Source organism: Homo sapiens, chromosome 14 (genome assembly GCF_000001405.40).
Source record: "Homo sapiens chromosome 14, GRCh38.p14 Primary Assembly".
NCBI lineage: Eukaryota > Metazoa > Chordata > Mammalia > Primates > Hominidae > Homo > Homo sapiens.
The window spans coordinates 65,318,165-65,335,633 of NC_000014.9; the positions used below are offsets into that span (position 1 = coordinate 65,318,165).

General features: G+C 44.0%; 1 non-coding gene across 1 annotated transcript, besides 5 other annotated features; it reads right to left on the reverse strand.

Moving 5' to 3' along the window:
- Nucleotides 813-1,032: an enhancer, noted in NCBI's record as "active region_8556". NCBI's record gives its function as "activates an Ori minimal core promoter by ATAC-STARR-seq in GM12878 lymphoblastoid cells {active_cell/tissue: GM12878}" and the evidence as "EXISTENCE:reporter gene assay evidence [ECO:0000049][PMID:35858748]".
- Nucleotides 3,103-3,212: an enhancer, noted in NCBI's record as "active region_8557". NCBI's record gives its function as "activates an Ori minimal core promoter by ATAC-STARR-seq in GM12878 lymphoblastoid cells {active_cell/tissue: GM12878}" and the evidence as "EXISTENCE:reporter gene assay evidence [ECO:0000049][PMID:35858748]".
- Nucleotides 3,433-3,522: an enhancer, noted in NCBI's record as "active region_8558". NCBI's record gives its function as "activates an Ori minimal core promoter by ATAC-STARR-seq in GM12878 lymphoblastoid cells {active_cell/tissue: GM12878}" and the evidence as "EXISTENCE:reporter gene assay evidence [ECO:0000049][PMID:35858748]".
- Nucleotides 10,763-11,534: an enhancer, noted in NCBI's record as "H3K27ac hESC enhancer chr14:65795645-65796416 (GRCh37/hg19 assembly coordinates)". NCBI's record gives its function as "activates a minimal SCP1, AML or CMV promoter by ChIP-STARR-seq in naive H9 embryonic stem cells {active_cell/tissue: H9 hESC(naive)}" and the evidence as "EXISTENCE:reporter gene assay evidence [ECO:0000049][PMID:30033119]".
- Nucleotides 12,394-13,004: an enhancer, noted in NCBI's record as "H3K27ac-H3K4me1 hESC enhancer chr14:65797276-65797886 (GRCh37/hg19 assembly coordinates)". NCBI's record gives its function as "activates a minimal SCP1, AML or CMV promoter by ChIP-STARR-seq in primed H9 embryonic stem cells {active_cell/tissue: H9 hESC(primed)}" and the evidence as "EXISTENCE:reporter gene assay evidence [ECO:0000049][PMID:30033119]".
- On the reverse strand, nucleotides 16,953-17,019 carry MIR4708 (microRNA 4708). The gene has a single exon (NR_039857.1). It is a non-coding gene; the product is annotated as a microRNA 4708 (primary transcript).
- Between the last annotated feature and the right edge of the window lie 450 nt (nucleotides 17,020-17,469).

Genomic DNA, 17,469 nt, shown 5'->3' on the forward strand with positions numbered 1-17,469 from the left:
CTCCAATGTTTTAAGAACCATGAAGCACAGCCTTTGACATTTCCTCCCAGGCATCCCCAAATTACTTCAAAGTGTTTGTTCACACCTGGCAGGCGGGCAGGAGAGGGAGCGAGAAAGCCATCTGTGGAGATTTGCAGCCCTCACTTTTATCGGCAAAGCCTCCCCCTCTGAAGACATGATGAATTCAGCTATTTTGGGAGCAGGGATTATAGATGTGACCCACCTGGCTCAGCTCTGAGTAACTGCCTAAAATTCTTGACAATAGCAAAAAGAAAGGAGAATGAAAGTTAAAAAAAAAAAAAAATCTCTCAGTATAGTTCACTAACCTGCCAAATGCTTGATTGGCTTCTTTTTAGGCCCACAGCTCATTTTCTTCCAGAAAACATCCCAGGAGAACAGCAAGGATATGGGATCTGGGGAGTCGGAGGTCTTGGTTCTGGTCCCGGTTCTGCCATATATTAGCAGTGTGACCTTGGGCAAGTCATTCATCTGGCAAACATTTATTGAGGGCTTTATCCATGAGAATCATGGAAATGAAAGGTACAGTTTCTGCCTTCTGTGAGTGCACAGAAAATTGAGTAGAAAAAGATATTAGTAAGTAACTGTATCACAGTGTGATGAGCACTAAGACAGAGGTCCCATGAGAGAAGCCTAGAGGAGGGGTACCTAGCTCAGCCTGAAGGTGTGGTCAGGAAGTCTCCTAACCTCTCTGAGTTTCAGTTCCTCAGCTGTAAAATAGGGAGCTTTTATATATTTGTGAAGGGAACTGATAGAATGAAATGTACTTCATCTCCCAAATGAAGCCCCTTCAGTGACTCACACCTGTTTCTGTTTGTGAAAAGAAAGCTCATCACTGATCCCTACTATCCCTCCACTCAGGACTCTTTTTTTTTTTTTTTCTTGAGACAGGGTCTCACTCTGTCACCCAGGCTGGAGTGCAGCGGCATGATCTTGACTCACCACAACCTCCGCCTCCCAAGCTCAAGCAATTCTCGAGCCTCAGCCTCCCAAGTAGCTGGGATTACAGGCATGCGCCACCACTGCCTGGCTAATTTTTGTATTTTTAGTAGAGACCGGGTTTCACCATATTGGCCAGGTTTGTCTTGAACTCTTGACCTCAAATGATTCACCTCCTTTGGCCTTCCAAAGTGCTGGGATTACAGGTGTGAGCCACCGTGCCTGGCCACACTCAGGACTCTTTTGAGAAAAGGTTCTTGCCTCTCCCTGCTCCTACTTCAGTTTCCCCCCCACAGACCATGTACTTTCTTGGCTACCCATATGATCCATATGTATTAAATACTTTCCACGTAAATGTGCTAATGTGCTACACTGAGAGAGATGAGATTTACTGTACTGGGAGAGGAGGGAGCTGCTGGGCAAAAGGGATTAAAACTCAACTGGGGCAAAACAAAGAACAAGGAGGAGAGGTGAGATTCGACAGGAGGACCAGGAAAGCTGAAGGCAAATGAGACCAGCTCCTGGGAGAATCCTGACCTGTGCCCAGACAGGAACATAGGAAATACCTTGACAGATCCAGAAGTTCAGGACTGTTTGCCACTACATGAGGAAGAAGAAAAGCCAGCAGAACTGTTTCTTTTTAGTAGCCAGATTCGTTTAGCAAAAGCTCTGTCTTCTTAAGGGAACAAAATCAAAATGAAATTAAGAAGAGAACACAGACTTCTTGGATAATTAGGAAGATGATACCACTGCTTGCAAAGGCATATGCTTTCCTTCAAAGGCAAATCAAAAAGTGCATTTTTCATTCATTAATGCCTGCAGGCACTCATTCACTTAGTGCTGGGCACTGAATGGAATACAAAATTGTGCAAGACTCAGCTCTTGCCTTCAATTTTATCCTAGTAAGCTTTTCAATATAATTGTTTTAAATTTTTTTTTGTAGAGATGGGGATCTTGCTATATTGCCCAGGCTGGTCTCGGACTCTTGGGCTCAAATGATTCTCCTGCCTTGGCCTTCTGAAGTGCTGGTATTACAGGCATGAGCCACCATGCCTGGCCCTAGCAAACATTTATTGAGCATCTCTCTGTGTCAGACACTGGGCTCCATCCCAGGATTTAAAACTAAATAGCTGGGCGTGGTGGCTCATGCCTGTAATCCCAGCACTTTGGGAGGCCAAAGTGGGTGGATCACCTGAGGTCAGAAGTTTGAGACCAGCCTGGTCAACATGATGAAACCTTCTCTGTACTAAAAATACAAAAATTAGCTGGGCATGGAGGTGCATGCCTGTAATCCCAGCTACTCAGGAGGCTGAGGCAGGAGAATCACTTGAACCTAGGAGGTGGAGGTTGCAGTGAACTGAGATTGCCTGGGCAATAGAGTGAGACTCTGAAAGAAAGAGAGAGAGAGAAAGAGAAAGAAAGAGAGAAAGAAAGAAAGAAAAAGGAAGGAGAAAAAAATAGAGCACAATTTCTTACCTTAAGGAGAAAATCTGGTGGATTTGCTAATAAAATGTCTTCACACTTCTAATATTCTAAACATTGACTTGAACAGATATTATTCTTGCCTGTGATTCTGTCAGTTTTCTGGCCCTTGTTGGAAGAATAAATCCTCTGAATTTATTCTAGAGGCCTGGCAGTTCAGCTCTGAGCTCACAGTAGTTGTGACTGAGAGAAAAAATGGTCTGTTTCCCTATCTCTCCCCTACAGGTCTAAAAATGTACCTGGCTGGATCAGGAACATCCACTTTTTTCTCCAAATGAGAGGTTACACAAAGTGAGTCATTTTTCTAGCTTTTTAAAAAGCTTGATTCAACCTTCCAATTTCCCACCTTTCTCTTCCACCTGCCTTGTTTAATAATTAGGCTGTTTAATAAATGCATTTGATGAGGAGGAGCGGGAGGAGGATGGTGATTGTTAGGCCTTACAAGTCCCTGGGGAATGTAACAGCGTCCTCAGCCAGAGTCACTATGTTCTGGGTTGTCCCCTGAGCATCTTGCTGAGTGAAAAGGCCAGAGGCCCTTCCTGCTTTAGGGTGCAGGTTTGACTGACCTTGGGTCATTCTTTCCCTAAGTGCCCTGCCAAGAAACCAGGTTTGGTTCTTATCTCTTAACTTCCTTTTTGTTCTGCTCCTAGTTTAGCTTACATTTTTCTTACTTGGAGCTTTTACTAACAGCAGATGACCACTACTTTTCAAGTACCTGCTGGGCTTGGAAGGTAGAGAGCAAACTAGACTGGGTGAGGTGAGAAAAATCATCCAGGCCAGCTTGTGACAATGCAGAAGGGTCAGGAGGCCTCACTGGTGAAGCACATTTCAGTAGGCAGGCACGCAAGGCATGGACTTCAGGAAAGGAAGTGGTGGGAACCTACCCACAGATGAGAGAGAAACAGAGACAGCAGGACAGGGAGAGGTCGAGCTGGAGACAGACAGACACACATGTACGGGGGCCAGTGGGGAGGAGAGGAGAGAGACTATGTTCACAGTGACAGGCTACATAGCCTGGGGGTAAAAGGAGTCACAGAGATATGGGTTCATATTTCAGCTCCACCATTTACTAGCTCTATGTGACTTGCATATTACTAAGCAAGTCACTTAGCCTTCTCTAGCTTCTGTTTCCTCATCTATAAAATAGAGCTAATAATACCTATCTTGCACAGTCATTGTGAGAACTAGTGATAAAATATGCCAAGTCACTTGCACACAATAGGCCCTCAATTAATGGCAGCTGTAGTTATTTTTGGAGTACTTTTTATGTTCTAAGTACTAGCTAAGTTTGGGGGATATGGGTAGAAAGTGTGGTGTGACAAATAGGAATATCCAATGAATGGTCCTAAGAGCTCCTTTTGGGTTTGCCTGGCAATGGGCTACCTTACTGTTTCCCCAAGAGGAGAGGCTGGCTGTGCCCAACTTCAACTTCCTATGGTACCAGGAGATCTGAAGACACTAGCTGGGCATTTCATAGCACTTCCTTAAGCCTTGGGCCCCTATGCTCATGCTGATCAGTGTCTGAACCCTGAAATACTTTCCCACCACAGCAAAGTCCCTCTCAAGTTGACCTATGAAAAGGAAGAGGTACCAGGGGTCCCTCCTCAGATGATTGATGGTGCATCCAGCTGCACCCCAAAAAGCCCAACTGTCTACAGGATCCAGGGAGAGAAGAGGACCTGGATACCTGCACCTTTCTTGAGTTTTACCTGCCAACACCAATTAGCTTTTGTCTTAAATATATCTTATGGCTAGGTGCAGTGGCTCACACTTGTAATCCCAGTGCTTTGAGAGGCCAAGGCAGGAGGATTACTTGAGGCCAGGAGTTCAAGACCAACCTGGGAAATATAGCAAGACCCCACCTCTACAAAAAAAAAAAATTAAAAACTAGCTGGGTGTGGTGGTGTGTGCCTCTAGTCCCAGCTACCCAGAAAGCTGAGGTGGAAGGATCACTTGAGCCCAGGAGCTCAAGGCTGCAGTGAGCCATGATCAAGCCACTGCACTCCAGCCTGGGTGACAGAGCAAGACCCTCTGTCTTTTCAGTTATCAAATAAACTAATATTTCTTTGTAAGACCATATTGAAGGGTTTCCCTGACTGAGACATGTTCTGGAGAACTTCAGTACCACCACTATTTACTGATGGCTCACAATCAGAACATCATGATAAGGTTTGTGTGCAACTGGATCAATTAAGACCATCGATCTGAGTGCACTTTACAAACTCTAGGGTGCTGTACTAATGTTAGCCAACAAAACGTCTTATGTCGGCCGGGTGTAGTGGCTCACACCTGTAATCCCAGCACTTTGGGGACCGAGGCGGGATGATCACGAGGTCAGGAGTTCGAGACCAGCCTGACCAACATGGCGAAACCCCGTCTCTACTAAAAATACAAAATTAGCCGGGCGCGGTGGTGCATGCCTGTAATCCCAGCTACTCCGGAGGCTGAGGCAGGAGACTCGCTTGATCCCGGAAGGCGGAGGTTGCAGTGAGCCGAGATCACGCCACTGTACTCCAGCCTGGGCAATAGAGCCAGACTGCGTCTCAAAAAAAAAAAAAAAATGTCTAATGTAGTATGAAGACTACATTTATATAGAAGTAGGTTGAATGGTTCTCGCAGTGTTTTTGCTCAATACCTAGGGAGATATTTTGTACTCTGGAGTAGGGGAACAGTAAACGCTGAGGCTGATATCGTAGGTTGCTGTGTCTGCTGTCAAGTGTCCACCATGGAAGGAGCCTTTATAAAGCCTCAGTGTCCTTTTGCCTCTGAGTGCCTCTGGCCTCTAGCAACCTGTCTCCCAAACCACTCAGGTGATTAATCTGAGGTTTCCTAACCACGTGGATTTCAACAAACCACCAGATCCTACCTGCGATGGGAGCAAAAATTCCTCCCAGTTTCTCCCTAGGCATCCGGGGTCTGAGTGCAGCTCTCCCTGCCACATAAGGAGGGTTGACTTGGTGGAGAATATGGGAACAAGTATAGCATCTTCTTTGTTCCTTAAAACACCCTCAACTTAACATTTTACTTCTGTCTGCTTCAGCTGACAGCTTGAGAAAAACCAAATTGGTGGTTGGCTGGTTGGGTTTTTTTTCAACCTAACAACAAGCCTGGCTTAGAGCTATTCATTCTTCAGCTCCTGATACTGTGTGTCTATAGATAAACCGGCATATATATTATCAACTTTTGTTTACTTCTCCCCTAATGGAAGTCCATTAATTTCCCAATATATATTACAGAATGACTTGCCTGTTGCCAGCATTGGGAGGATAAATTAATCTTTAGTCCCTAGATGTTTAAGTTGGAAAATAATGGGAAATAGAAGAAATAGAAGGACCGAGATGACTCATTTATTTCAGATGCTCACCCTAAACTACTTTGGAAATGCCAGCCGTGAATTAAAACCCGAATCTAGAAGAATGACCTAAATCACACTTTACCAGAGAGACTCTTTAGTTCCTTAGCAAAAATTGCACTTTATGTCTAGAATGGAAGAGGTTGATGATGGCTGGAGTCAAGTAGCATGAACTTAACTCCATCCGATCTGGGGATAAGGAATCAATATTGTCTCTCTAGAGAGGGCAGAAACCTCTTTAGAAGAAGATAAAGGGAAGCCACAGTCAAGTATAAGATACTGACATCCTAAGCCAGGCACGGTGGCTCACACCTGTAATCCCAGCACTTTGGGAGACCAAAGCAGGCGGATCACTTTTGGTCAGGAGTTCGAGACCAGCCTGGCCAACATGGTGAAACCCCATCTCTACTAAAAATACAAAAATTAGCCGGGCATGGTGGCAGGCACCTGTAGTCCCAGCTGTTCGGATGGCTGAGGCAGGAGAATCGCTTGAGAACTCTAGCCTGGGTGACACAGCAAGACACTGTCTCAAAAACAAAAACAAAAAAATTAAAAAATTAGCCTGGCATGGTGGTGTGCGCCTCTAGTCCCAGCTACTCAGGAGATCGAGGCAGGAGGATTGCTTGAGCCCAGGAGGTTGAGGCTGCAGTGAGCCCTGTTCACATCACTGCACTCCATCCTGGGCAACACAGCGATACTCTTGTCTCAAAAAAAAAAAAAAAAAAAAAAAGATACTGACATCCTATAATATGTTAGTGCTGAGAAAGAGAGGAGAGCTGGCTTGGGAAAAGAGCAAGATCTTTTTTGCTCACTGAATCACAGGCCAAACCTGTTCCCCTGTTTATTCTGTGGTGATCCTCCTAACTTAATTTTCCCTAGGTACAACAAATGAGGTGGCCCTACACAGTTACATTAACTGATTTTTCTATAAGGTTATCTGAAGGCTAAGGATCTCAGGATGTAATGGATAGTAAAGCCCAGGATTATGATTTAGGCAAAAATCAGAAAGGAGAGTCAGGTAAAGGAAAAGAAATTCTTGGCCCGGCACAGTGGCTCACGCCTGTAATCCCAGCACTTTGGGAGGCCAAGGCTGGCGGATCACCTGAGGTCAGGAGTTTGAGACCAGCCTGGCCAACAGGGTGAAACCCCTTCGCTACTAAAAAAATACAAAAATTACCCGGGCATGGTGGCACTTGCCTGTAATCCCAGCTACTCGGGAGGCTGAGGCAGGAGAATCGCTTGAACCCCGGAGGCAGAGGTTGCGGTGAGCCGAGATTGCGCCACTGCACTCCAGCCTGGGCAACAGAACGAGACTCCATCTCAAAAAAAAAAAAAAAAAAAAAGGAATAGAAATTCTCTTTATTGAAAGACAATAAGAATTCATATTTGACTAGCTACTGCAGGGAAGCAACTAATCTTACAACATAATAGATGTTGTTAATAATGTTCATTACCTCCTTGGATGCCACCAATAAATGACTTTCAATTTTATACATGTATTGTCCAAGTTGTGAATTTGGTCTTGGAATTAACAGGTGGTAAATTCCTGGAAAGCTTAATAAGGGAGATTGTTTACTTTGTGTATAAATAAAGAGAATATGGGATCAAGTATAGCATCTTCTTTGTTCCTTAAAACACCCTCAACTTAACATTTTACTTCTCTCTGCTTCAGCTGACAGCTTGAGAAAAACCAAATTGGTGGTTGGCTGGTTGGGTTTTTTTTCAACCTAACAACAAGCCTGGCTTAGAACTATTCATTCTTCAGCTCCCGATACTGTGTGTCTATAGATAAACAGGCATATATATTATCAACTTTGAAGGAATGAAGATTATTATGTGGGAACACGAACTGGCATAGTCATTATGGAGAACAGTATGGCGTTTCCTCAAAAAACTACAAATCAAACTTCCATATGATCCAGCAATCCCCCTACTGGGTATATACTAAAAGGGTATGAAATCAACATATTGAAGAGACATCTGCACCCCCATATTTACTGCAGTACTATTCACAATAGCCAAGATAGGGAGTCAACCCAGGTGTCCAACAACAGATGAATTGGTAAAGAAAATGTGGTATATATACACAATAAAATACTACTCAGCCATAAAAAGGACAAAATCCTGTCATTTGCAATAACATGGATGGAATGGAGGACATTGTGCTAAGTGAAATAAACCAGATAACTTGAACAGAAAGTTAAACACCACATGTTCTCACCCATATGTGGAAACTAAAAAAGGTCGATCTTATGGAAGTAAAAAGTAGAACAGAGGATACTAGAGGCTTGGGAAGGTAGCGGGAAGTGGGTATGGGAAGAGATTTGTAAAGGATACAAAATTACAGCTAGATAGGAGGAATAAGTTGGAATAAATTCTAGTGTTCTAAAGCACTGTAGGATGACTATAGTTAACAGTAGTATATTATATAGTTTCAAATAACTCCAAGAGGATATTGAATGTTCCCAACACAAATAAATGATAAATGTTTGATTAGCCAGGTTGTGGTGAATGCATATAGTCCTAGCTACTCTGGAGGCCGAGGCAGGCAGATTGCTTAAGTCCAGGAGTTTGAGGTTATAGTGAACTATGAACTATGATCAAGCCACTGCACTCCAGCCTGGGCAACAGAGCAATACCCTGTCTCTAAACCAAAAAAGATAAATGTTCAAGATGATGGATATGCTAATTACCCTGATCTGATGATCACTATATATTATGTGTATTGAAATATCACTATGTGTCCCATAAATATGTTTTGTTGTGTGTGTCGGCTAAAAATGATTTTTGGCCAGGTGTGGTGGTTCATGCCTGTAATCCCAGCCCTTTGGGAGGCCGAGGCCGGCAGATCACCTGAGGTTGGGAGTTCAAGACCAGCCTGACCAACATGGAGAAACCCCGTCTCTACTAAAAATACAAAATTAGCCGGGCGTGGTGGTGCATGCCTGAAATCCCAGCTACTCAGGAGGCTGAGGCAGGGTAATCGCTTGAACCTGGGAGGCGGAGGTTGCAGTGAGCCGAGATCGCGCCATTGCACTCCAGCCTGGCAGCAAGAGCGAAACTCCGTCTCAAAAAAACAAACAAAAAAAAGATTTTTAATAAAAAAATACTTATAAAAGGAAGAGAGAAGAGAAAAGGAGAGAGAGAGAGAGAGGAGAGAGGGGGAGAGAGAGGGGCAGTGTGTGTGTGTGTGTGTGTATGTGTGTGTGTGTGTGTGTGTGTGTGTGTTTGTGTGTGTGTGTGAAAGTCTAAACCTAACCTAACCTAACCTTGGGCTGGTTACTTAGGTGGGCTCCCTGAGAGCAGCATTATGTTGGTGAGGGTGGTCTTGGGGCGAGGACTGGTCCTCAGCCTTGCAGATGTAGGATCTCCATTTTATTAGTATACCTGGCAGTGGGCAGGCTCTGGTAGGGTTGACAGAAAAATACAGGGTGCCCAGTAAAATTTGAATCTTAGATAAACAATGAATAATTTTTAGTATAAGTGTATCCCATGTGATATTTGTTTTGTTTTAGAGACAGAGTCTCTCTTTGTCACCCAGGCTGGAGTGCAGTTCTGCGATTGCCGCTCACTGCAACCCTTAGAACTCCTGGGATTAGGAGATCCTCCTGCCTCAGCCTCCCAAACAGCTAAGACTGCATGTGTGTGCCACCGTGCCCAGCTGCTAATTTTTAAAATTTTTTGTAGAGACAGGGTCTCACTATGTTGTCCAGGCTGGTCCAGAACTCCTGGCCTCAAGTGATTCTTCCAATTCAGACTTCCAAAGTGCTAGTATTACAGGCATGAACCACTGCACTTGGCCCCAATATTTGTATTTTTATTTGCTACATCTGACAACCCTATCTAGGAGGCATCCATTAATTAACTCACCAGAGACTTATTTGTAAACCAGAACCCCAATGTGTGGGTTTACAGGGCAGGGCACACGTTTCAACATAGCAGAGCCTTTGTGCCTACTATTTGCACCTCTCTCCTTTAGGTGTTTGGAAAACCAAGTTTGTCATCGGTGAATTTCAAACTGTAGTGAAGCACGTTGAATAGCTTCATGGGCTATGCATCCAGACCACAGTAGAACATAGGAACTCTGGAGGTTTGACTGCAGGGACACCACTCAGAACCTGGAATAACAATCCAGTCTAACAGACACAGTGTCTTTCTTCCCTAGACAGTGTTGCAATAATGCTGGGCTTCCACTCCCCTTTTTCAATGTTTATTTATTTTTATTATTATTATTTTTTGAGACGGAGTCTCACTCTGTCACCCAGGCTGGAGTACAGTGGTTCCATCTCTGCTTACTGCAAACTCTGTCTCCTAGGTTAAAGCAATTCTCCTGCCTCAGCCTACCGAGTACCTGGGATTACAGGCACCAATCACCATGCCTGGCTAATTTTGTATTTTTAGTGGAGACGGGGTTTCACCATGTTGGCCAGGCTGGTCTCAAACCCCTGACCCCTGCCCGCCTTGGCCTCCCAAAGTGCTGGGATTATAGGCATGAGCCTGCGCCTGTCCTCAATATTTAATTTTCAATGTTTTTATGTCACTCAAAACTCCTTGTAAACACACTGCCATTTTAAAGATATCTGCTGATTCAATCTATTTCGTATTGATTGTTGTGCTACTTTTTAGGGAGCCATACTACGTCTTGCTCATCTTGCTGAGTTTTGGGAAGCTTGATAGTTCTAATGATTAGCAGGCATTAATTTTATGAGATAGTTTTAGATATGTACGGATACATCTGTGATTTTCTAAAACAGAACACAATTTTGATCTTAGACTCTCATTCTGTGTAATGCAGAAAAATTAATCCAGTAGGAAATTCATTCATTCATACTCATCCTCTCTCCCTTGATCTCCTTTAGCTGGAATCTCAATTGTAGGAGAGTGGGAAGGAGGAACCCTTGTAACACCATGTGCTCGGAGTTGGTAGCTCCAGAGATGGGGAACAGCTCATCCCTGGGCATCCAGAGATACTAGCATAGCCCCGTGTTGTCCTCTAAAGCAGCTGTATGCCCATCTAGTTTGCTCAGCTCATGCTGCTATTGACAAAGGGTCAAACTCTGTAAACTATTTGAAGAAATTTATTCTGAGCCAAATATGAGTGGCCAATGGCCCATGACACAGCCCTCAGGAGATGTTTCTGACAACATGTTCCCAAGGTGGTCAGGCTACAGCTTGGTTTTATACACCTTAGGGAGACATAAGATATCAGTCAATACCTGTAAGATGTACATTGGTTTGGTTCAGAAAGGACAACCAGAAGCAGGGGCTTCTAGGTCATAGGCAGATTCAAAGATTTTCTGATTGGCAGTTGGTTGAAAGAGTTATTATCAATAGAAAGGTATGTCTGGGCCAGGTGCAGTGGCTCATGCCTGTAATCCCAGCACTGTGGGAGGCTGAGGTGAGCAGATCACTTGAGCTCAGGTGTTCAAGACCAGCCCGGGCAACGTGATGAAATGCCATCTCTACAAAAAATACAAAAATGAGCTGGGGTGGTGGCTCACGCCTGCAATCCCAGCTACTTGGAAGTGGAGGCAGGAGAATTGCTTGAGCCCAGGAAGCAGAGGTTGCAGTGAGTGAGACTGCGCCACTGCACTCCAGACTGGGTGACAGAGCGAGACCCTGTCTCAGAAAAAAGAATGCCTGGGTTAAGATAAGGGGTTGTAGAGACCAAGATTTTGTCATGCAGGTGAGGCCTCCAGGCAGCAGACTTCAGAGGGAATAGACTGTAAATGTTTGTCAGACTTAGTCTGTTAACAAGTCTTAAGGTCTGTGCTGATGTTAATGCTGGTCAGCTTTTCCTGAATACTCAAAGAGAGGAAGGTATGATGAAGCATGTCTGACCCCCCTTCCCATCATGGCCTGAACTAACTTTTCAGGTTAACATTGGAATGTCCTTTGCTGAGATGAGGAGGTCCATTCAGGTGGCTGGGGGCTTAGAATTTTTGGTTTGCACTGCCATCCATCATTGTTTCTCCATGGCATGACCACTTTGAGCTGCCAACTCTCCCTCTCAGCTCACCTCTGAGCACTTCTCGGCATGACAGTGGGGCAGTCCAGCTACTTTCCCACAGCTACCACAGCCAGAAACAAGGCTGTCACTGAGCTCTCTCCCCCATCACCCGAACAACCATCTGTGCTCTGTTGACCCCATATCACTGTAGCATAAGCAAATGTGTGGGGTCAGCTGCCCTCCCTAGATAGGAAGTAGACACAAATTTCCTCTATTCTTAGTTTCCTCAAGGCTTATCTTGTGTTCTACTTGCCAGCCAGAGTTCCCTCTCTGCTAAAATAATTCACCCTGGGAAGATGATAGGGGCCTTCCTTGGAGACCACACATCTCTCCAGTCTAGATAACCCTACGAAAGTATCTAGGGGCTGGTAATCTTGCATGGAGGAGTGGGGAGAGTTCTTTCAGACCGTTCTTATTTGGTTCAAAATAACGATTTAGGGCCAAAGAGTTCCTGAATGCTCAAAAAGTATTTTCTCTCAAATCTAGGTCTTGTGTTCAGCAATCTCATTTGAATCTCAAAAGTTAACCACTGACTTTCTTTTTCTTGGCATTCCAGCTATGATAACCTCACTTTTCCCTGGGGCAGGGCATGCCTGGGTCTGCAGAGCAGTAGAATGTGGTGAAGTGTGTTTTGTTGATGGTAGAAGGGAGGACCTGTTTAATGTCTCAAAATACCTTCTGGAGTTGCAATGTTCCAGCCTCTATTTTTATGCTAAGTACCTTAAACCCATGTAATCTTCAGAACAATCTCAAGAACTAAGTATAATCATTCCAACGCAGATGAGGAAATGAAAATTCAAAGGGAGAATGGGGAATTTGTTAAAAGATTCCAGTTGTAAGTGGTGGCAAAATAATGAACCTAGGATAACCTGATTCCAAAGTCTTCATTTTAAACCCCAACAGTGAGGCTGGGCACAGTGGCTCAAGCCTGTAATCCCAGAAATTTGGGAGGCCAAGGCAGAATCACTTGAGGCCAGGAGTTCTAGACCAGTCTGGGCAACATGGTGAGACTCTGTCTCTACAAAAAACAAAAAAATCAGCTGGGCATGGTGGTGTGTACATGTAGTCCTAGCTACTTGGGAGGCTGTGGCAGAAGGATCACTTGAGCCCAGGAAGTTGAGGCTGCAGTGAGCCATGACAGTGCCACTACAATCCAGCCTGGGTAACAGAGGGATCTTGTCTCTAAATAAATAAATAACCCCCAACAGTGGCCTCATATCTTGTCCAACAACTAACTCTCTAGGAGATTTGTTAAAAATAATTTTGATATGCCAGGTTCTCGCCTGTAATCCCAGCACTTTGGGAGGCCAAGGCAGGTTGATCACTTGAGGTCAGGAGTTTGAGACCAGCTTGGCCAACATGGTGAAACCCTGTCTCCACTAAAATACAAAAATTAGCCGGGTATGGTGGTGCGTGCCTGTCATCCCAGCTACTCAGGAGGCTGAGGCAGGACAATCGCTTGAACCCAAGAGGTGGAGGGTTGCAGTGAGCTGAGATCACGCCACTGCGCTCCAGCCTGGGTGACAGAGTGAGCCTCCATCTCAATAATAATAATAATAATAATAATAATAATAATAATAATAATTTTGATAAAGATCCACTCCAGGAGATCCTGATCCAGTTGGTCTCGGTTAGAGCCTGGTCATTAGTATTTTGAACAGTGTCAACCTTGTGAAAGGAAAATAAATCTTTGGACCCCCCCAAAGAGAAAAGTCAAGCTGGGAGCTGCTTAGGGCAAACATGCCTCCCATTCTATTCCTTAAAGGAGATAGCTACTAAGATAAAAAAGCTATATACCTGCCTCACAATTTGTCTACAAGGAAATTCCTTTTGGACAAAGGACAAACAGAACGCAAAGTCATCCCTCTGCTCACTGAGATAAATGCATATCTGATTGCTTCTTTTGGAAAGGGTAATTGGAAACTCAAAAGAATGTTTGTCTATCTATGACCTGGAGGCCCCCTCCCTGCTTCAAGTTGTCCCACCTTTCTGATTGAACCAATGTACATCTTACATATATTGATTGACGTCTTATGTCTTCCTAAAATGTATGAAACCAAGCTGTGCCCCGACCACCTTGGGCACATGTCATGGGACTTCCTGAGGCTGTGTCACGGGTGCATCCTTAACCTTGAAAAAATAAAGTTTCTAAATTGAGACCTGTCTCAGATATTTGGGGTTCACAACCTAAATTAATGAGATTCTGAAGAGATGATTAAATATAGAGTTTGTAACCATAATCGTTTCATTGCCCAATGTGCATAGCAAGTCAATACGCTGAAACACCTAGTTGCAAGAGAGAAAGAGGTTTAATTGTAGGGCAGCTGAATGTGATGGGAGGAAACCTCAAATCAGTCTCTCCAAGGAATTTGGGTCTAGAATTTTTAGTGATTTTGGAGTGGGCTGAAGTGTGGAGATCTTTGCTTGGCCCAAGGGTGCAGGATGAAGTCATAGAACAGGGAGATGAAGAAACTATATTCTCATGCTGATTCTGCTCTCCTCTGGGGGTCTTCAAACTTGTTGGCATCAGCTCAAATTTGGGATCTGAAAAACATCTTAAGCAATTCTTAAACAAAAGCCTTATGATTCTAATGTCAGAGATTCTATCTATCTTAATCAGAGGCCTGATGATTCTAACCTCAGACAGAAATACTATCTGTAGGAACAATGAGGATGCAAGTGGTCAGGATCTAGTACTCCACAACTTTCACTTCCTGTTGTTACAAGGAAGTGAGCCACAGTGCAGCCTAATTAATGCTTAATCATAACTATATTTCTGTCCAGAATTCTTGTTAACATGGTGAAGATGGCTTCAAGTTTATTCAAGCTCAAAGCTTGAGGGTGGCCACCCAAGAGCATAGATTCAAGTTGCCCTAAACCCACACTCTGATTAGAAATAGCTACAAGAGGATTTTTAAGGAATAAAGAAGAGGCAGCTCCTAAATTGTTTACCAAGAATTTATACTAAAATAACATAAGCTATTGATTGGGTATGTGTTATTCTTTGCATCACAAATTCCAACATGAAGATAATGGGTAAGGCAGTTAAGCAGGAACAAAATGCCTTTACACAGTTGCCCTGGACATGGGCGCAGAGATGTGACTGAAGTCCCATACTCCTGTCTCTCCAGGCTTGATAAATTTTGTATACTTCACATAGCTCAGACTGATCTGAGCTATTTTTCTTTCTCAGCGGAGTCTCCGTAGTCTCCGTAATTCAGAGGCACACCAAAATTTGAAAGCCAGCTCTACCACTGACTAATTGTGTGATTTTGGACAAATTAGTTCATCTCCTAGTATCTCAGTTTCCTCATTTGCTAAATGGGGAAAATAACAGCTCCAACATCATTGAGCTGTTGTGGAAATTAAATTAATTTAAAATGAAAGCACTTGGAAGAGTACTTGGCACATAATAAATGCTCAATAAGTGTTAAAGATTGCTACTTTTCCTGTCCCTTAGCAACTAAAAAATATCTTTTAAGGAGCGCCATTTCCTGGACATACTACAAAAAAGGGGAATTGCCTGCATTTACATAGATTTTTTGATAGTTGATGTCTCTGAGAGCAATATTCTTTTAGCCCCTTCTCTAAATCCAGGTTTATGCCTAATTTAGATCCCACGGTCTCCTGTGGTCCTAACCACCTTGTGAACATGTTATGAAGGTAAATTGAAGTTAATCTAGGGATGGAATGATGAGAGCAGGTAAAAGATAAATAGTTCAATGGTTCTCAACCTTGGCTATACCTTATAATTATCTGGAGAGCTTTAAACAATGCCCAAGTCAGCTGGGCATGGTTGCTCACGCCTATAATCCCAGCTCTTTGGGAGGCTGAGTCAGGAGGACTGCTTGAGGCCAGGAGTTTGAGACCAGCTAGGCAACATGGTAAGACCCCCTCTCTATTATATATTAAAAATAATTTTTAAAAAATGCCTAAGTCACACCCCAGACCAATTAATATCAGAATCTGTGGGAACAGGGCTCAGCTATCAGTCTATTTTAATCTCCAGATGATTCCAGTGTGTAGCCACTGGCCTCATCTTAGCTCGGCTGAGCTGGTGAGACCCAGTAATCTGTATTCTAACAAGCCTTCTGCAAATCTCAGGACCTTTGGTGTGAACCATCCCATCATCCTCCCAATGTCCAGGCCTCTGATTTCACTTCTCTGCCCAGTGGGTGTGACTTGAAAGCAAGAGAGGAGGTGCAACAACCCTTAGTTTCTGTAAGAAGGTACAAGGAGACCAGTTCTGTATATCAAATCCTGGTTTATTCTAGCCAGACCTGTCTTAGGGACAATGATGGTCTTTCAGCCTAAATGCTTGCTTCTCAGGAAGCAGGTGAGCCAATGAAGGGCCCCACTCTCTCCAAGTGGAGACTATAGCATTTGCCTAAAATACCCCTTCTCTCCAGTCCTAACTGTCCTGGAAGCTTCTCAGAGGCCAAATATGTAAACAAGTTCCAAACCAACACATCTGCTTTTCATTTCCTGCGGAATGCTAAAACGAGTCTTTTAAGGTTGCTTAAAATATGTTCTCTCCTCCCGCCCCACCCCCCAGGGCATTTGCTGTGCGTCCTCAGACCACCTCAGCTCCTCCTTCCCTACACCTGGGACTCTTCTGCGCAGACTTGGCTTCAAACAAGGCTCACGGTTCTTCCTGGCATTTGCTTTTTTGGCTTAGCGAGTGCACATTCAATATCTTTTTCTTCTTTTTCTTGAAAGCACTGTCTTCAGTCTCCTCACTTGTCCCTTTCTCCTCTGGCAAGCGTAATGCTATCAACATTTGAAAGTGGCCTGATTCCCTGGTGTCTGGTAAATGGCCTTGCTGGTGAACTTCTTTAGGAGAACTGCAAAGAAACTAGAGCAGGGGCTAAAGAGAGCTGCTCTCTTGGGGCTCAGATGCCCCTCCTGGGGCCCCACCTCACACTAGGTGGGTTTCCTTCCTAAATTTGAGCAACGACTCTGTGTGACCTTAGCCACCCTTAACTTTGCTCTGCTTCTGTTTAGCATCTGTTAAGGAGTGACCTTTGCCACCAATTAATGAGGGTGAGGCCCCATTCAGTTGCAAAGAACGTGGAATTGTAAACAAACTTGCAAGTGGAAAGACTAGTTCCAGGGGAAATGTAGGTAAGAAAGGTGCTCCCGTATTCTCCTTTTAGTATCAGAGAGATGCCGCCTTGCTCCTCCTGTTCAAGGAGCAAGGCGGCATCTCTCTCCTAAATATGCTGTTGTGTCTCATACCTCAGCTTCTCAGGGCCCTGCCAAGAGCGGGTAGGTAACATAACAACAGCTGTTACTGCCCCAATGTATCCTCCCTCCAAATGTCAACAACATACACTTTGGAGTGGCCTCTTTATGTTAAGGCCTTGAGCTTTAAGACTCAGCTCTGGCCTTTAAGAATCGTATGTTCCCGTTGAAGAGACAGGATGTGTGTAAAGATAGCAGCTAGAGACCATGCCCAACAGATAACAAACATTAAGGGAATACATAAGTATTGAACAAATATATATGGAGCACTAATTATGTTTTGTTGTAAGCTCTGAGGCTAAAGTGTTATAGGACTTTCTCCTTAGTTCAACTAAAAGCCGGATTCTTGTCACACAGCCATGAGAGATTAGGCTTGCAGACACTTTGAAGGGTGAGAAGAATGGAACTTATTGGGCAAAAAGGA